We start from the raw sequence: 20,211 nt of genomic DNA, 5'->3' as shown, positions 1-20,211 counted from the left end.
AATATGTATCAGCTTGCATAGCTTGTAGGTAGTAGATACAAGATTTGACCCTAGACCTTTCAGACTCTAAATTGTCAAGGGGAATAAAACAGAATATGGTTTTGTTTGTTTTACTGTTTTTTGTTTGTTTGTTTTGTTTTTTGAGACAGTGTCCTTTGTGTCGCCCAGGCTGGAGTGTAGTGACACAATCATAGTTCACTGCAGCTTTGACAGCTTTGAACTCCTAGACTCAAAGAATCCTCCTGCCTCAGCCTCCCAAGTGGCTAGGACTATAGCATACACCACCATTCCTGGTGAATTAAAAAAAATTTCTTTTTTTTTTTTTTTTTTGGTAGAGATGGAGTGTCACTATGTTGCCCAGGCTGGTCTCAAACTCATAGCCTCAAGCAATCCTTCCACCAAGGCCTCCCGAAGTGTTGAGATTACAGGTGTGAGCCACCGCACCCAGCCTAAAAATACTGTTTAAAGAAACTAAAAATGCATAGTATAAGGGGAAAGAAAAAAGTTCAGTATGACTATAATTGAATGAATAAGTGAATGATAAAAATTGAAGTTGGAAAGATAAGCTAAAACTTGACTATAAGGATTCTTGTATGACACACTAAAAACATTAGTTTTATTCTGATCATGAGAGTGAATCAAGAGTTTTTAAGCATGAGAATGACAGATCATCATACGTGTGTTCAGAAAAAACTCCGGGGATGCTAAAGAGTATGAATTGGAATGAGTTGTATGTGTAAGTCTGCAGCAGGCTGGGAGATAGGAAGACCAATTAGTGTAACCGTGAAACCAGACCAATCTGGTTCAACTTTTATGTAACAAAGGAATGAGTCATTTTTCAGTTGCCATAGACCCTAGGTTGCAAGTTAGGTAATTTGAGCATGCCCAGATGAACGAAGTACACAATCGTGAGTGGAACCTAATGGCTTAGTCCAAGAAACAGGGACGGAATTAACAAGCAGACAACACATGATCCAATCAGATTGAGCCCTGACATCATCCCGTGGCATAATCCAGTCAGATCACGCCTCCCAGCATTACCTCATTCACACCTCATTACTCTGTCTATGAAACCTGCCCCAGTCCCCAGCTCAGGGAGACAGATTTGAGCATTTCCTTCTGTTTCCTTGCCAGTTGACTTGCAATAAAGCTGTTTTTCTCAAAAGCTAGTGACATGGTACTGGCTTCTATGCTCTTTGGGCAGTGAGCCCTTGCTCAGTAACATTAGGAGGCTCCAATATTAATCCTGGTGGGAGATATAAGATATGAGTCAATGCCGAAGTTTCATCTCTGCAGGAGTGATGTGTTGGAACCCCGTGAATGGACAGGATGTCTAGGGGACAGTATACAGGGAGGAGAGAAGAGGGCCAATGAATTAACTCCAAGGACAAATACAATTTTAAAAGACTTGGAAAATAACACAAAGAATCTGTACTTGGACACATGGAGGAATACCGAGAGAATCTGTGGTTATAGAAGGCAAGATTATAAAAAGTTTCAAGAGCTAAATTCCATTTACAAAAGCATCCAAGAGAACTTAAAGAGCATTCGATTTCTTCAAGAATATCTTTAGATCAATAGCTGTTCTGAACCTTGGATCACTTGACTCTGTTGTCACTTCTTCCCACCAAAGACCTGGTCCCTCTGGATGTCCTTCTCCAGAATCATAGTCTCAGAGCTGGAAGGGACCCTGGAGACATCAGAGTACAAGCCTAAGAGTCTCTGCTAAGTTCTTTCTCCCTCTAACACAGCTACGCCTGGGCTGAGCTCTGTTATCACTGACTTCTGTCTTCAGTCTCCTTTACCCCTAGAGATGCTGACTAACCACTCTATTAATGAGCAGTCACAGGCTGTGACCTCATTAAAAAGTAGCTAATGAGGCACTTTGTTGTTCAGGAAGCAGTCTACCGAGGTTCCCAGTGGCCTATCTTGGGGCGTGGAGGGAAAGCTTAGGTGAATAGAAGGGATCAGGTCTGGGGGAGAGGGCTAATGATTGAGGCTGCAGAGCCATAGCTTCAAATAAACTCATCTTGGCAAGCAGCCACCTTTGAAGCTCAAGTCCCTGCTGGCCTGCAGGTAGACAGGAGTAGATGTGGTTCAGAGTGGCAGCGATTTCCCTCTGAGCTGTCAGCTCTGCCTAATGCCTGCTCTCTTGACCCATTTTGATGGAGAGCTTTAACATTTGAAATCAAGAGGTGGTTTTGTGTTGCTGTGAGTTTGTGAATTATGAACAATTGTATAAGCCTTTTGATTGGTCTCTATCTCGCAGGCTGTGTCTTCTTGCAATTCATTCTATATATAGAAGGGCCTTGTATGCTGAAGACTGTGTGTGTGTGTGTGTGTGTGTGTGTGTGTGTGTGTGTGTGTGTGTATTTGAGACAGGGTCTTGGTCTGTCTCCCAAGCTGGAGAGTACATCATCTTGCACTCCAGATGCATCAGTGGCATCATCTTGGCTTACTGCAGCCTGGACCGCCAGGACTCAAGTGATCCTCCCACCTCAGCCTCCTGAGTAACTAGGACTATAGGCACGTGCCATCACACCCAGTTAATTTTTGTATTGTTTTATAGAGACAGGGTTTCATCATGTTTCCCAAGCTAGTCTTGAATTCTGGAGTTCAAGGGATCCTCCTGCCTCCTGCTCAATCCCAAAGTGCTAGGACTACAGGCATGAGCCACTGCACCCAATCCCTTCAATATTTTTTTCCTTTCTACCCTTCCACCCTCATCTCCCATGTTATCAATTTCATCATTATTACTACTCTTATCACCATCACCTTCATGGGTATCATCATAATTAATATTTGTATAGTGCTCAAATGTTCCTCAGTGTATTTAAACCTCACAACAATGCCATCAAATAGGTGCTGTGGCTAATCCTCATTTAATAGAATAACGCTGAGGCAGATATGTCATGTAGCTTGACCTATGTCTTATAGCTACTCAGAGAAACAGGATTACATCCCAGGCGTTTGGTTCTAGAGTGTATGCTCTTACCTATGATGTTGTACATCATGAAGATTTAGGCTTCTGTGCTTTTTGCACTCACTACTGGCTTGTCATGGAATGCTCATCTCACAGGCACCCTCAAATCATGGCTCCCATTCCTTCTTACACTTCTTAATTTGCTACTTCTGATCATTTGACACTAGGACCTGGGATCCTAATGTCCAAGGAACATGTCCATCTCCCCACTGAACTGAGACTTCTTGCACATCAAGTATTTAGTTGGGTTCAGTAACTTATAGTGGTATTACTGAATATTTTAGTATATATTATACTTGTTTAAATATACAATACTATATCCTCTTTGGGAAACTGGAAACTGCTCTTGCCCTTTCTATTGCTGTCATGTCCCTGCTCATCCTCCCATTTTTTCCTATCTCAATAAACTTCTACCAAACTGGTTGCTTATGCCAGAAATATGGGTGTAGTCTTTGACACCAGTCTAACACTAAACTATCAGAAGCTCTCACCTAGACTACTGCCATAGTGTCCTACACTAATCTCTTTATACTCTTGCCACTTGCAATAAATTATCTACCCAGTAGACATATTTATCTTTAAAAATACCACTCTTTGCTCAAAATGCTTCATAACTGTCCATTTCATTAGACTAAGATCTAAAATCTATAAGATGGTCCAAAAAATTCTCATTTATCTGACCTCTTTTACCTATACAACTAATTTTACCTGTTTCATTCTTATTCACAAAATTTCAAATAGGTTTTTTTCTGTTTTGGAATCAGGATAATATTAGCCTCACAGAGTGAATTGGGAAGTGTTCTCTCTTTAATTTTTTGGAACAGTTTATAAAAAATTGGTGTTAATTCATCTTAAAAGTATGTTAGAATTCACTAGTGAAGCCATCTAGCCCTGGGCTTTTGTTTGTGGGAGGATTTTTTATTATTAATTCTACCACTTTAGTTGTTACAGGTCTATTGAGATTTTATTTCTTTTTAGTCAGTTTGGTTTTGTGTCTTTTAGGAAATTTGCATTTTATCTAGGTTCTCTAGTTTGTTGACATGCAGTTGTCCATAGCATCCCTTATAATCCGTTTCATTTTGGTAAAGTTGGTTATAATGTCCCCCGCCCCTTTCATTTCTGATTTTAGTAATTTGAATCTTTTTTTCTTTTTGGCTTGATCATTGTAGCTAATAGTTGGTCAATTTTGTGAGTGTTTTCCAAGAACCAACTTTTGATTACATTTTCTCTATTATTTTCTATTCTATATTTAATTAATTTTTGCTGTGATTTTAAAAATCATTATATAAAAATGTTTATTAGTTTATTCCTTCTGCTCACTCTGTGTTCAGTTTGCTGTTCTATTTCTAATTTCTGAAGATGGAATCTTAGGATATTTATTTGAAATATTTCCTTTTAATTTTTAAAATGTTGGTGTAAAATGACCTTTCATAGTTGTATATATTCCTGGGGTACAAACTGATGTTATAATTTATTACAATATAGAATAATTAAATCGAGTGAATTAGCATATCCATCACCTCAAATACTTATCATTTTTTGTGATTAGAACATTTGAAATGTACTCTCTTAGCAACTGTGAAATGTACAATATACCATTTTAACTGTATTCACCACACTGTGCAATAGATCTCAAAAATAACCTCTTTTTTCTCTTGAGACCTTGTATGCTTTGATCATCATCTCCTCATTCTCCCCTCCCCAGCCTCTGTAACCACCATTCTACTCACTGCTTCTAGGAATTTGATTGTTTTAGATTCCACATATAAGTGAGAACCTGTAGTATTTGCCTTTCTGTACATGGATTATTTCATTTAACATAATGTTCTCTAATTCCATCTATATGTCACAAATGACAGAATTTCTTTCTTTTTAAAGGCTGAGTAGTATTTCATTTTGTATATACAATCACACATTGTCTAACAATGTGTCTTAGGATACATTCTAAGAAATGCATTGTTAGGCAATTTTGTTGTTGTGTGAACATCATAGAGTATATTTACATAAACCTAGATGGTATAGCCTACTACAGGGCTATGGTATTGCTCCTAGGCTACAAACCTGTACCAGCATGCTATTGTACTGAATAGTGTAGGCAATTATAACACAATGGTAAATATTTATTTATCTAACCATATCTAAATACAGAAAAGGTGCAGTAAAAATTCAACATTATAATCTTATAGGACCACTGTTATATACACGTTCCACATTAACTGAAATATTGTTACACAGCACACGAGTGTATACAAAATTTTCTTTATCCATGCATCTGTTGATAGACACTTCAGTTGATTTCATAACTTGGCTACTGTGAAAAGGGCTGCCATTAACATGGGAGTGCAGTCATCTCTTAACAAACTGATTTCAAATCTATTGGCTAAATACCCAGAAGTAGATCATACGGTAAGTCTATTCTTAGTTTTTTGAGAAACCTCCATAAAATTTTTCATAATGGCTGTACTAATTTACATTCCCAGCAACAGTATGCAAGAATTCCCTTTTCTCCCACATTTTCACCAACACTTGTTATCTTTTGTTTTTTTATATACTAAACATTCTTATGGGTGTGAGATGATATTTCATTATGGTTTTAATGTACATCTCTCTCACTATTAGCAATGTTGTACATTTTTCATATGTATACCAGCCATTCCTTTGCCTGCTTATGAGAACTGTCTGTTCAGGCACTTCACTCATTTTAAAATTTGAGATCCTTCTTATTTTAGATATTAGCCCCAATCAGATGTGTAACTTACAAACATTTTCTCCTAATCATATGTTGTCTTTTCACACTGTTAATTGTTTTCTTTGCTCTGTGGGAGCTTTTTAGTTTGATGTTATCCCACTTATCTATTTTTACTTTTGTTGCCTGTGCTATTTTTGAGGTCAAATCTAAAATACCATTGTCCAGACCAATGTTGTATAGCTTTCCCCCTATGTTTTCTTCTCCAATTTCTGGTATTACATTTAAGTCTCATTCATTTTGAGTTGATTTTTGTATATGGTGTGAGATAAATATCCAATTTCACTCTTCTGCATGCAGATTATTTATCCCAACATCATTTACTGAGGAGATTATCCTTTTCCCATTGTGTATTCTTGCTACCTTTGTCAAGAATCAATTGACTCTACCTGCATGGGTTCATTTCCGGGCTCTCAATCTGTTCTGTTAATCAATGTGTCTATTTTTATGCCAGTGCCATGCTGTTTTAACTACTTAGCTTTGTAGTGTAGTTTGAAATCAGTGGAATGCCTCTAGCTTTTTATTTTGCTCATGATTGCTTTGACTATTTGAGATTTTATGTGGTTCTATATAAATTTTAGGATTTTTTTTCTCTGAAAAGTGACATTGGAATTTTGACTGGGATTGCTGCTTTTACTCATGGTGGAAGCAAAGGGGAGCCCGCATGTGCAGAAATAAGATGACATGAGAGGAAACAAGAGAGAAGTGGGAGACATCAGGCTCTTCTTAATAATCAGCTAAAAGAGTGAGAACTCACTCACCTCTGAGGCAAAACATTAATTAATAATGAGGAATCCACCATCATGAGCCAAACATCTTTTATTAGGCCTCACCTACAACATTGGGATTAAATTTCACCATAAGGTTTGGGGGACAAGCTACCAAACCATAGTAACCTCCTTGGTAAAATTTATTCCTAAGTAGTTTATATTTTCATGTAGCTATTGGTTCTTGATTTCTTTTTTGGATAGTTCATTGTTAGAGTATAGAAATGCTATTAATTTTTTTTCTCATGTTAATTTTGTATCCTGTTACTTTACTGTATTTATTCGTTCTAACAGGTTTTTTTGGTGAGTAATTTAGGGCTTTCTATATATAAGATCATGTCATTAGCAAACAGTATCAATTTCACTTACTCTTTTCTTATTTGGATGCCCTTTTTTCACTTGCCTCATTGCCCTACCAAGGGCTTCCAATACTATGTTGAATAGTAAGGGTAAGAGAGGGCATTCTTATCTTGTTCCACATCTTAGAGGAAAGGCTTACAATGTTTCATTATTTAGTATAATGTTATTTGTGGGTTTGTTGTATATGTATTGTCACAGGATCCTTGGGATGTTGTTTTGCCAGCCAGAAACCTCTGTGACTGGCAGCACCTTCCGCATGAGTATTGCTCATGTCTGCTGGGCTCATTCTGCCCACTCGCCTGGCTGGCTGTGCTCAGCTCATGCTACCAGGCTGGATGCCACACCTGTCAAGGGCAAGCCAGGTGCAGAGTGGCGAGGGGTGTGTGGGTGAGTGAGCATGGGGTCCAGCCACTGTGCACAGCCAGGCACGCTGATTGCTGTGGCAGGGCAGGCAGCTCCAGGCACTAGCACAGGTGCCGACTCCATGTGAGGCTGTGTCTGGACCAGATGTACTGCATACAGCTTCTGCTGCAGGCACCTGCATCCAGACAAGGGGTACACAGTGGCACCCAGAAGCTTGGAGATGCCAGGAGCTGCAGAGCCCCAAAGAGAGCGTCACAGCCCTGACTCTGGAGCCCCTAAATCCAGGTTCCCTGAAGGGCTGCAGCTCTTTTCTCCTCATTGCCTGCAATGTGGTGAGCTTGGGTGGGGCATGTTTCAGCAGCACCGTTTGTGTTACAGCTCTTTTAGTCCCGCCATTTGGGGGGTCCCAAGTTCTTGTCCTGAGTCCAGGAAGAATGAAGTATGTGGACAATTTGAGGGTGAGCAAGGTAGAGAGGAGCTTTATTGAGCAACAGAACACCTCTCAGGAGACCCAGAGTGGGTAGCTCCTATCCACAGACAGGTCATTCCAATGTGTGTGTAGTCGTCAGCAGAGGAGACCTGGAGTGGGTAGCCCCTATCTACAGGCAGGTCATACTGATGTCTATGCAGCCCTTAGCAGAGAGGAGACCCAGAGTGAGTAGCTCCTATCCGCAGACAGATTGTCCCAATGAGTCTGGTTGAGTCTGGGGATTTTATGGCCTCAGAGGGAGGAAGTGCATGCTGATAAGTCCGTGGCCATGAGTGGGCCCAGAAAAAGTACCACAAGTTCTCACTGTGGTCTGTGGACTCCACCTGAAACTGACAGCCCAGCCCCCATGCTTCAGGCTGTCACTGGCTTGAAGGTGGGGCTTCACCAGGAATGTGCCCCTTTCCACCCAGGAGCCTGTCTGCCTCCTGTTGCCATCAATAATGTCCATGGCACCCAGGCTGTTTGTGCCAAAGGGGCCTGCAGGCCTGCGCCAAGCTGCCCTCAGGCCTACCTCAGTCCCCCTCCCATGCTCATTGGTGCCCAAAGTTCAGAGGAGGCCGAGGTGACAGGAGGCTGGCATGTCAGCACTGCCCCAATTGTGTGAACAACTGGCCAGGTTGCAACAGCACCCAGGCTCAGCCACAGCTTTGCTCTGCCTGTGAGCAGGGAGAGGCCAGGCAGCAGGAGCATGCACTTCCAAGCCTGCAGGGCAGGGGGCTTCCTGGGCCCCCAAGAGTGCAGGGATGCCCAGGTCTGCAGCTGCAGTTAGGTGGCTGCAACTGTGACTGGGAGGGTAGGGCTTCCACCTGGTCAGCTTGGAAGTGGGTGGGGCTCCTGCCTGTTCCTGGCTCCTGCTGGCTCCTTAGAGCCTGCAGCCTTCTGCCATGCCTCCCCTGCTGCTTCTGGCATCTTTGCAGCAGCTGCTTCAGACAGGCCGCTGCTGCCATCAGTAGGGCCTTTATTGTATTGAGCTATGTTCCTTCTATACCTAATTTGATGAGAATTTTTATTATGAAAGGGTGTTGAATATTGTCAAATGCTTTTTCTGCATCTGATGATCATATTTTTATTCTTCATTCTGTTAATGTAGTATGTCACATTTATTGATCTATGTATGTTAAATTATTCTTACATCTCAAAGATAAATCTCACTCCATCATGGTGGATGATCCTATTAAGGCATTGTTTAATTGAGTTTGCTAGTATTTTGCTGAGGAAGTTTGCATGTATGTTTATCAAGGATAGTGGCCTGGAATTTTCTCTTGTTGTAGTGTCCTTTTATAGCTTTGGTGTTAGAGTAATGCTGGCCTTATATAAAGAGTTTGGGAAATCCTTCCTCCTATTTGATTCTTTTTAAAGAGTTGGAGAAGGATTGGTGTAAGTGCTTTTTGTAAACATTTGGTGGAATTCAGCAGTAATGCCATCAGGTCCTAAAATTTTTTTGATGAAAGATTTTTTTATTACTGATTCAATTTCCACATAAACTCATCTTGGCTAGCAGCCACCTTTGCAGCTCAAGTCTCTGCTGTCCTGCAGGTACATAGGAGTAGACGTGGTCCAGAGCAGCAGTGATTTATCTCTGAGATGTCATCTCTGCTTAAGGCTTGTTCTGCTGACCCATTTTGATGGAGGGCTTTAAAATTTGAAATCAAGAGGTTGCTGGTTTTACCATGCTGCAGGGTTGTTGGTTTTCAAGGCTACTGTAGAACTGGAGAGAGAGGGAGGGGAATAGACCAGTTTGAAATGATGCAAAGCTTACTGTTTTTTTCAGTTTATTTTATTGAATAAATGCTCCTTGCATAGTTGTAAGCCTTTAGTTCATTTGTATAGTTCTGAAAATGTTGTTTTGACAATTTTTTGCACTATTTTTATTGCTTTTAGAGAGGAGAAGATTTTTGAAGGTTTTTTTTTTTTGCTTATATCACTAAGAAATCACTTTTGCAGCAGTGTGTATCTTGAGTTATACACAGGCAAGATCAAAGATGGAGGCTAAACTACGTGAGTAATATTGCAATTGTGAAGAGAAGTGAAGATATGAGAGGTGCATTACATCAGAAGACTAGGCTGTAGAACCTGAAGCTAGACTGCATGGATTAAGTTCCAGCTCTGCTGTCTTCTAGATGTGTGCCTTGAGGCAAATTATTTATCCTCACTGTACCTTAGTATCCTCATTGAAAAATGGAGATAGTAATATAATCTATCTATAGGATAATCTTGAGGAATAAATGAGTCAATTCATTTAAAGCAGTTGGAATACTGGACATCATTATGACTCAATATTATGTATTATTTTGCCAAGGAGATGTAATAAACAGGTGATTGTTTATAATTGGAGATGAGGAAAAGAAATTAATTTACAATCATACATAAATCTTAACTTAGGCAATAAATGGTTCAGGAGAGCAAACATATTGACAGTGAAGTTTGTCAAGATCTCAGATTCTTACATTTCTGCATGCATTTTTTTTTTTTTTTTTTTTTGAGACGGAGTCTGACACTGTCACCCAGGCTGGAGTGCAGTGGTGCGATTTCGGCTCACTGCAAGCTCCGCCTCCCGGGTTCACGCCATTCTCCTGCCTCAGCCTCCCAAGTAGCTGGGACTACAGGCGCCCGCCACCATGCCTGGCTAATTTTTTGTATTTTTTAGTAGAGACGGGGTTTCACCATGTTAGCCAGGATGGTCTCGATCTCCTGACCTCGTGATCCACCCGCCTCGGCCTCCCAAAGTGCTGGGATTACAGGCGTGAGCCACCGCGCCCAGCCCGCATTCTTGTATTACATGCTAAATACAAAAGTAGACTCATACAGGTATTTGTGAGTTAGCAAACCATTACTGAGTCAGTAAACCATTCTACATTAGGTAGAAAAGTATCATAAGTGAAGGACACAATTCACACCATAGAAAATTGAGCTAAGTGTGCTTTCTCTTTTTAATTGCTTTTTTAGAAATATTTGCATGCAATAAAATTTACTAATTTAAAATATACAGTATCTAACGACCTTCCTACTCATAATATAAAATCTTAATGTTTCAGTTAGGCAGCAAAAATAAGGTCTGGAGATATATTGTGTATACCGTAGTGACTATGGCTAATATTAATTGCATTAGTCCATCCTTGTGTAGTGTTGCTATAAAGAAATACCTGAGGCTGGGTGGTTTATAAAGAAAAGATGTTTATTTTGGCTTATAGTTCTGTAGGCTGTACAGGAAACATAGTGCCAGCATCTGTTTCTGCCGAGGTCCTCAGCAAGCTTACAGTCATGGCCGAAGGAAAAGGGGTAGCCAATGTACCACATAGTGAGAGTAGGAGCAGGAGGTGGGGTGGGAGGGAGGTGCCGCACTATTTTGAGGAACCAGATCTCACATGAATTCAGAGTGAGAACTTACTCATTACCACAGGGACACCATGCCATCTATGAGCAGTGACCTAAACACCTCCCACTAGGCCCCACCTCCAACATTGACGATCACATTTCATATTGGGATAAAATTTATGGGGGACAAGTTTCCAAACCATATAATTAATGTATTGTATACTTAAACATTGCTGAAAGTAAATTTTAAATGTTCTCATCACAAGAAAATAATAAGTATATAAAGTGATGGATATGTTAATTAGTCTGGTTTAATCATTTCATAATGTATACATATGTCAAGACATCATGTTGTATACCATAAATATATACAATTTTTATTTTAGTTTTAAAAATAATTTAAAACCAGCCAGGCACGGTGGCTCATGCCTGTAATCCCAGCACTTTGGGAGGCCAAGGCAGGTGGATCATGAGGTCAGGAGTCTGAGACCAGCCTGACCAACATGGTGAAACCCCACCTCTACTAAAAATACAAAAAAAAATTAGCCAGGTGTGGTGGCGCACCCCTGTAATCCCAGCTACTCAGGAGGCTGAGGCAGGAGAATCACTTGAACCTGGGAGGCGGAGGTTGCAGTGAGCCAAGATCGTGCCATTGCACTCCAGCCTGGGTGACAGAGTGAGAGTCCATCTCAAATAATAATAATAATTTAAAATCGAAACCTTTTTTTTTGAGACAGGGTCTTACTCTGTCGCCCAGGCTTGAGTCGAGTGGCTCGGCTCACTGCAACCTCCGCCTCCCAGATTCAGGCAATTCTCCCCACTCAGCCTCCCGAGTAGCTGGGATTACAGGCACACACTACAATGCCCGGCTAATTTTTGTATTTTTTTAGTAGAGATGGGGTTTCACCATGTTGGCCAGGCTGGTCTCGAACTCCTGACCTTGTGATCCACCCACCTCAGCCTCCCAAAGTGCTGGGATTACAGGCATGAGCCCCCGTGCCTGACCAAAATCAAAACGTTTTTATCACCCCCAAAATTTCTCTCATCCCTTTTGCAATGAGTCCTCTAGCTGTGCCCCCTGGACACTGGCAAACAATAACTTGCTTTCTATCACTATAATTTTACCTTTCCTTGAATTGCATGTAAATGGAATCACACATTAGGTAATCTATCGTGTCTGGCTTCTTTCACTTAGCATAATGCTTTTAGGTTTCACCCATGTTGTTTCATGCCTCAGAAGTTTGTTATTTTGGTCAAAAGTGTGGACCTACACAAATTCATCAGCAGTTGGCAGTGGTTTGGCTGGATGATAAGGGACTTGGAAAGAACAGGATTTGAATGTTGGTGATAAAGAAGTCTGGGAAAGAGGTACGCTAGGTGAACTTTTTGAATGGGCACAGACTATGAATTATCTGTGTTCCAACAAAAGGCATCCACTGTGGATGGCTAACTAGGGATGTCAGATGTGAGTTCTCTACAGAAAGAAGAGACAAAGTTACAGATGAGTGATCATGGCTGGAGTGGAATGCTGAGGAAGAATGCAAAACCAGTCAGAGAAGCCACAGGAAGAAGCTCAGGTGCAGAAAAGGAAGGCAGCAAGACTCTGGCAGAGATTGACTCCTGAGGAACTTGCAATCCCACAGAAAGTGTAGGTGGGAGTTTCTTTGTTCTCCTTACCCTTGTGACAGGCTGCTGAGGACCAAATTGTTGAAGAGCCTCTCTGCTCTTGTAAGCCCAGGCACTGCGGTCAGGAGGAATTTGGAAACTCCCTGGGGGTCCAGCACTTAGTAGCCAGTTTGTGCAGGTTCACACACACTCCCCTTGAACCCAAGTTGAAATGGTAGGCACCGTGTTGGTTGTACACTGATTGTGGGCTACTATCCTGCCCAGAGAATTTCAGTCTTTGTTTCTTCATACCACTAGATCCCCAACAAACATTTTCCAGATGCTGCTCTAAGTGCAGCGAACACAGGGGAACAGTGGGATCCTTGGGAGTTGCAAGATCCTTGGATATCCAGTTCACAGCATGGGCTGCTGCTGGGAGAAGGCACAGTGCAGCCCACCAAAACACCCTTTAGAACAAAGGAAACCAAATAGAAAGCTCTCTCCTGCCTGAGAGCCCCCTACTTGTGTCCAGTGGGTGACTGTGCCCCTCCCAGAAGAGTGATGGGTGCAGTGGTTGTCTCTGAAGGGGAAAAGTGTTGTTCTGCCCAAGCAGACAGGCAACACCAGTGGCTGGAAATGGATGAGGGGAATCTTCTCCCACTCCCCCAGTCTACTGTTGTGGACAGAGCCAAGGTTTTTCCCACTGTGAATTGGCATAAGTGCACTTAGAGTGAGGCTTTCCAGCATGATTCCAGGTGGTTACACCCCCACTGAAAGTGTACCTGCCTCCTGGAATTGCATAAAGGTGGAGCACATCTCCCCCTCCCTACACAGAGCTGCTGTGTTCCTGCAATGGAATGCAGACCAGCCACAGAGTTACCTGTCTTAAACCAGAAAAAGAGGTTCAGCCTCAAGGCTATCTCAGTGGTACCTGCAGATGGGCATTTTCCACGGGCCCTAGTTTCATTGAGACCTGGAGAAAAGGGTCAGTGTCTATCTGAACTGAAAGTAGCAAGCCTGGTGACAGGGATGTAATAGACATGTAGGTTGTGTTCCTGGCTGCCCAGGATAAGGAGGTGGTGAGGTCCCACCGTGGCACCCCTCACGTTGAAGACATCAGCCCATCCCACCATGAGCTCCTTCCACCGCCTCTGTCAAAGCAGGTGCTTCCATTTGTCATCAGAGATGAGCCCGCTCTTACTCCTTATCGCCATCTACTGGACTATAGACTGAACTGCACCACCAAATAAACCTGCTGACAGAAGGGCATAGTTCTAGGGTATGGGAAAAGCTCCCTGAGACCTCCCCACTCCCAGCACCACAGAAGATAATGAGTCAGCTCATATACCCAATATATCACTAAAACAATCAACATTTGAGAAAGCCACTGCACAAAAGCTATCTATAACTAAGGAGTTCATACATAGCCTTGGCCCCCTGAAAGCACTGAGAAACAAAGCCAAAGTATCATACAGAATATATGTTACAGTCATACCCTCAAGGGAGAAAAGAATAAAAAAGTTAAAAGCACCATTCAAATGGAATAAAGTTCAAAAATCAGAGGTCATAACTTCTCTAGATGAGAAGGAATCAGTGTAAGAACTCTGGCAGGACAAAAAGAGTTTTTTGACACCCCCAAAGCATTACACTAGCTCTCTAGCAATGCATCCTAAACAAAATGAAAATTTTGAAAGGACTAAAAAAAGGATTCAAAACATGGATTTTAGGAAGCTTAATGAGATCTATGAGAAAGTCAGAAAGCAACACAAGGAAATCAGAAAAACAATTCAGAGTATGGAAGAATAATTTACTAAAGAGGTAAGTATTTAAAAGAAAACCAAACAGAACTTCTGGAAATGAAATGTTCATTGAAGGAATTATAAAATATAGATGAACTATTTAACAACATACTAAACAAAGTAGAAGAAGGAATTTCAGAGCTTGAGGACTGGTCCTTTGAATTGACCCAGTTATATATAAAAAAGAAAACAAAGGAGAATTTTTTAAAAATGCAGCCAGGAAATATGAAATTATATAAAGCAACGAAATCTATGAGCAATAGCCATTACTCAGGGATAATAATAAAAAGTAAAAACCTTGGAAAATGTATTTGATAAAATCATTCAGGAAAATATTTTTGGTCTAGATAGAAATTAGACATCCAGATACAACAGGTTCAAAGAACATCTGGAAGATTCTTTGCAAGATAAATCTTATCAAAGTATATTGTCATCAGACTGTCCAAAGTCAACATGAAGGAAAAAATTCTAAAGATAGCTAGAGAGGCCGGGCGCGATGGCTCATAACTGTAATCCCAGCATTTTGGGAGGCCGAGGCGGCGGATCACGAGGTCAGGAGATCGAGACCATCCTGGCTAACACGGTGAAACCCCATCTCTACTAAAAATACAAAAAAAAATTAGCCAGGCGTGATGGCGGGCGCCTGTAGTCCCAGCTACTGGGGAGGCTGAGGCAGGAGAATGGCGTGAATCCGGGAGGCGGAGCTTGCAGTGAGCCGAAATCGCGCCACTGCACTCCAGCCTGGATGACAGAGCGAGACTCCGTCTCATTAAAAAAAAAAAAAAAAAAAAAAAAAATATATATATATATATATATATATATATATATATATATATATAATCTAGAGAGAAGTGTGTAATCACTTAAAAAGGAAATTCCGTCAGACTAACAGAAGATTTCTCAGCAGAAACCTTACAAGCCTGAAGAGGTTGAGGACCTATTATCTTTCTTAAGGAAAAAAAATTCTTTAAGAGTTTTTCAATAAAGCTTAAAGTAAGCTTTATAAATGAAGGAGAAATAAAGTTATAGACCATCAAACCCTAAGGAAATTTATCACCGTTACACTGGCCATATGAGAAATGCTCAAAAGAGTTCTCACATGGAAACAAAAGGACAATACTTGCCATCATAAAAACACTCATCAGTATAAAGCTCACAGATCCTATAATGCAATTACACAATTGAGACTACAAAGAAACTAGGTAACATCATTATGACAAGAACAAAACCTCACATATCAATATTAACCTTAAATGTAAATGGCCTAAATGCTCCACTTAAAATATATAGACTGGCAAACTGGATACAAAAACAAGTCCCAACTATCTGCTGCCTACAAAAGACCCAACTAACAGATAAAAATACCCATATGTTCAAAGTAAAGAGCTGTACAAAAAGAGTCCTTCAAAACTGCTGTATCTAAGGAAAGGTTAAACTCTGTGAGTTGAACGCACACATCACAAAGTGGTTTCTGAGAATGATTCTGTCTAGTTTTTATATGAAGATATTTCGTTTTCTTCCATAGACTTCAAAGCACTCTAAATATGCACTTGGAAATTCTACTTTGAAATTCTACTATGAAAAAAGAAAACAAAAACAAGCATGAGTAGCTGTACTTACATCAGATAAAACATACCTTGAAGAAACAACAGTTAAAAAAAAAAAGACAAATGGCTGGGCACAGTGGCTCACACCTATAATCCCAGCACTTTGGGAGGCCGAGGCAGGTGGATCACAAGGTCAGGAGTTCAAGACCAGCCTGGCCAAGATGGTAAAACCCCGTCTCTACTAAAAATACAAAAATTAGCTGGGCGTGGTGGCAGGTGCCTGTAATCCAAGCTACTCGGGAGGCTGAGGCAGAGAATTGCTTGAGCCCAGGAGGCAGAGATTGCAGTGAGCCCAGATCACGCCACTGCACTCCCTCCAGCCTGGGTGACAGAGCGAGACTCTGTCTCAAAAAAAGAAAGAAAGAAAAAAAAAAGAAAGAAAGACAAACAAGGTCATTATATAATGATAAATTGTTTGATTCCACAAGAAGATATCACAATTCTAAATATATATGCACACAACACCAGAGCACCTAGATTCATAAAACAAATACTATGAAACCTATGAAAAGGAATTGGTAGCAATACAATAACAGTGAGGGAATTCAACATCCCACCAACAGCCCTAGACATATCACTGAGGTAGAAAATCAACAAAGAAACTGTGTACTTACTGCACTCTAGACCAAATAAACTTAACACATTTACAGAACATTCAACCCCAGAACTGCAGGATATATATTTTTCTCATCTGTACATGGAACATTCTCCACAATAGGCCATATGCTTGGCCGTAATGAATAAATTCAAAATATTCACAACTATCCTGTCATACCACCGTGGAATAAAATTAAAAATTGATACCAAGAGGAACTCTCAAAATGACACAAATATATGAAAACCAAACAACTTGCTCTTGAATGGCCTTTGGGTAAACAACAAAACAAAGGCAGAAATAAACAATTTTTTGAAATGAATTAAAATAAAGTGATGACATACCAAAACCTCTGGGATATAGCAAAAGTGGTGTTAAGAGGAAAGTTTATAGCATTAAATACCTGCATCAAAAAGATAGAAAGATCTCAAATTAACAACCTAATTTCACTCCTCAAAAACCTATAAAAGCAAGAACAAACCAAACCCAAAGCGAGCAGAAGAAGAAATAACAAAGATCCAGAGCAAAACTAAATGAGGTTGCAACTAAAAAAAAAATAATGAGAAGAAGAATCAATGGAATGAGAAGTTGAATTTCTGAAAAGATAAACAAAATGATAAACCACTATCTAGAGTAATCAATAAAGAGAGAAGATTCAAATAAGCACAATCAGAAATAATAAAGTGACATTACAACAGATACCATGGAAAAACAAAAGATTATCAGAGACTACTATGAGCATATTTATAGACACAACCTAGAAAACTTTGAAGGAATGGATAAATTCCTGAAAGCATAAAATCTCCCAAGATTTAACCAGGAAGAAATAGAAATCCTGAAAGTCCAATGATGAGTAATGAAATTGAATCAGTAATTTAAAATCTCTCAAAAAAAGCCCAGGACCAGATGGATTAACAACTGAATTTTATCAGAGTTACAAAGAAGAGCTGGTACCAATGTTATTAAAACTATTCCAAAAAGATGAGGAGGAATTCCTCCCTAACTCATTCTACAAAACCAGTATCACCCTGATACCAAAATCATGCAAGCATGCAATAAAAAAAGAAAACTACAGGCCAATATCCATGATGAACATAGGTGCTAAAATCCACAACAAAATACCAGCAAACTGAATTCAACAGTATGTCAAAAAGATAATGCATCATAATCAAGTGGGTTTTATTCCTGGGTTGCAAGCATGGTTCAACATACACAAATCAATAAATGTGATTCACCACATAAACAGAATGAAAAACAAAAAGCATATGACCATCTCAATAGATGCAGAAAAAGCATTCAATAAAATCCACAGACAAAAACTCTTGAGAAACTAGGCATAGAAGGAAGATACCTTAAAATAATAAATGCCATATATAACAAACTCAGAGCCAACATCATACTAAATGAGGAAAAGTTGAAAGCATTCTCTCTAAGAACTGGAACAAGACAAGGATGCCCACTCTCACCACTCTTATTCAAAATAGTACTTAAAGTCCTAGCCAGAGAAGTTAGGCAAAAGAAAGAAAGAAAAAGACCTCTAAATTGGAAAAGAAAAAATCAAATTATCTGTTTGCTGATGACATGATCTTATACCTAGAAAAGCCTAAAGGCTCCTCCAAAAGACTAGACTTGATAAATGACTTCAGTAATGTTTCTAGACACACAAAATCAACATACAAAAAATAGTAGCATTTTTATATAATGTTCAAGCTGAGAACCAAATCAAAAACTCAGTCTCATTTATGATAGACACACATGCACACACACACCCACACACAAACACACACACACACACACAATACCTAGAAATACATTGAACCAAGAAAGTGAAAGATCTCTAGAAGTAGAATGATGAAACACTGATGAAAAAAATAATAAATGACACAAACAAATGGAAAAACATCCCAGCTCATGGATTAGAAGAATCAATATTTAAAAAATGAACATACTGCCCAAAGCAATATACAGATTCAATTTGATTTCTATCAAGTTACTAACATTATGTTTCACAGAATTTTAAAAATCCTAAAATTCATATGGAATTAAAAAAAGGGTCCAACTAGCTAAAGCAAACCCAAGCAAAAAGAACAAAGCTGAAGACATCATCACATCGCTTTACCTCACACTATATTTCAAGAGTATAGTAATTAAAACAGCATAGTACTGGTACAAAAGCAGACACATAGGTCAGTGGAACAGAATAGAGAACCCGGAAATAAAGCCACATAACCTACAACCAACTGGTCTTTAATAAACTTGACAAAAATAGACACTGGAGATAGGACACTATATTCAATGAATGGTGCTGGGAAAATTGGATAGTCATATGCAGAACAATGAAGCTGGGCCCCTATCTCTTACCATATACAAAAATCAAATCAAGGTAAAGATTTAAATTTAACATCTCAAACTATAAAAATCCTAAAAACAAACCTAGGAAATACCCTTCTTGGCATCAGCCTTCACAAAGATTTTTTGGCCAAGTTCCCAAAATCAACTGCAACAAAAACAAAAATGGACAAATTGGACCTAATTAAACTAAGGAGCTTTATGCACAGCAAAAGCAACTATAAATAGAGTAAACAGACACCCTACAGGATAAAAGAAAATATTTGCAAACAATGCATCTGTCAATGTCTAATATCCAGAATATATAAGGAACTTAAATCAACAAGCAAAAGACAAATAACCTCATTAAAAAATGGGCAAAGTGTATGAACAAACACTTCTCAAAATAAGACATACAAGAGGCCAACAAACATAATGGAAAAGTGCTCATCACTAATCATCAGAGAAATGCAAATCAAAACAACAATGAGATACCACTTCACACCAGTCAGCATGGCCATTATTAAAAAGTTAAAAAAAAAAAAAAATCAAGGGGTGATGATAAGGCTGCAGAGAAAAGGGAATGCTTACACACTCTTGGTGAGAATGTAAATTAGTTTAACAACTGTACAAAACATTATGGAGATTTCTTAAAGAACTTATAACAGAGCTACTATTGAACCCAACAATTCTATTACTGAGTATATACCAAAAGGAAAATAGATCATTATACCAAAAAGACATGTGCACATGTATGTTCATTGCCATTCTATTCATAATAGCAAAAACATAAAATCAACCTAGGTGTCCATCAATTTGGTGGATTAGATAAAGCAAATGTGGTACATATACACCATGAAATACTATGCAGCCAGAAAAAAGAAATAATGCTCTTTGCAGTAACATGGATGGAACTGTAGGCCATAATCTTAAGCAAATTAAGGCAGAAACAGAAAATCAAATACCTCCCTTAAAATTGGGAGCTAAATCTTGAGCTCACATGAACATAAACATGGGGACAATAAACCCTGTGGGTTACTAGAGGGAGGAGGGAGGAAGGTGAATGTGGGTTGGAAAACTACATATTGGTTACTATGCGTAGTACCTGCTGTAATATATCCATGTAACAAACCCACATATGTAACCCCTGTATCTAAAATAAAAGTTGAAAAAGAAAAAAAGATAGTATTTTTACTGATTAAAAAGAATAATCTAAAAAGTTAGATTCAATGGGATTTACTTTATTCAATGAA

This window comes from Homo sapiens, chromosome 11, assembly GCF_000001405.40.
Source record: "Homo sapiens chromosome 11, GRCh38.p14 Primary Assembly".
NCBI lineage: Eukaryota > Metazoa > Chordata > Mammalia > Primates > Hominidae > Homo > Homo sapiens.
This window is presented reverse-complemented; position numbering follows the sequence as displayed.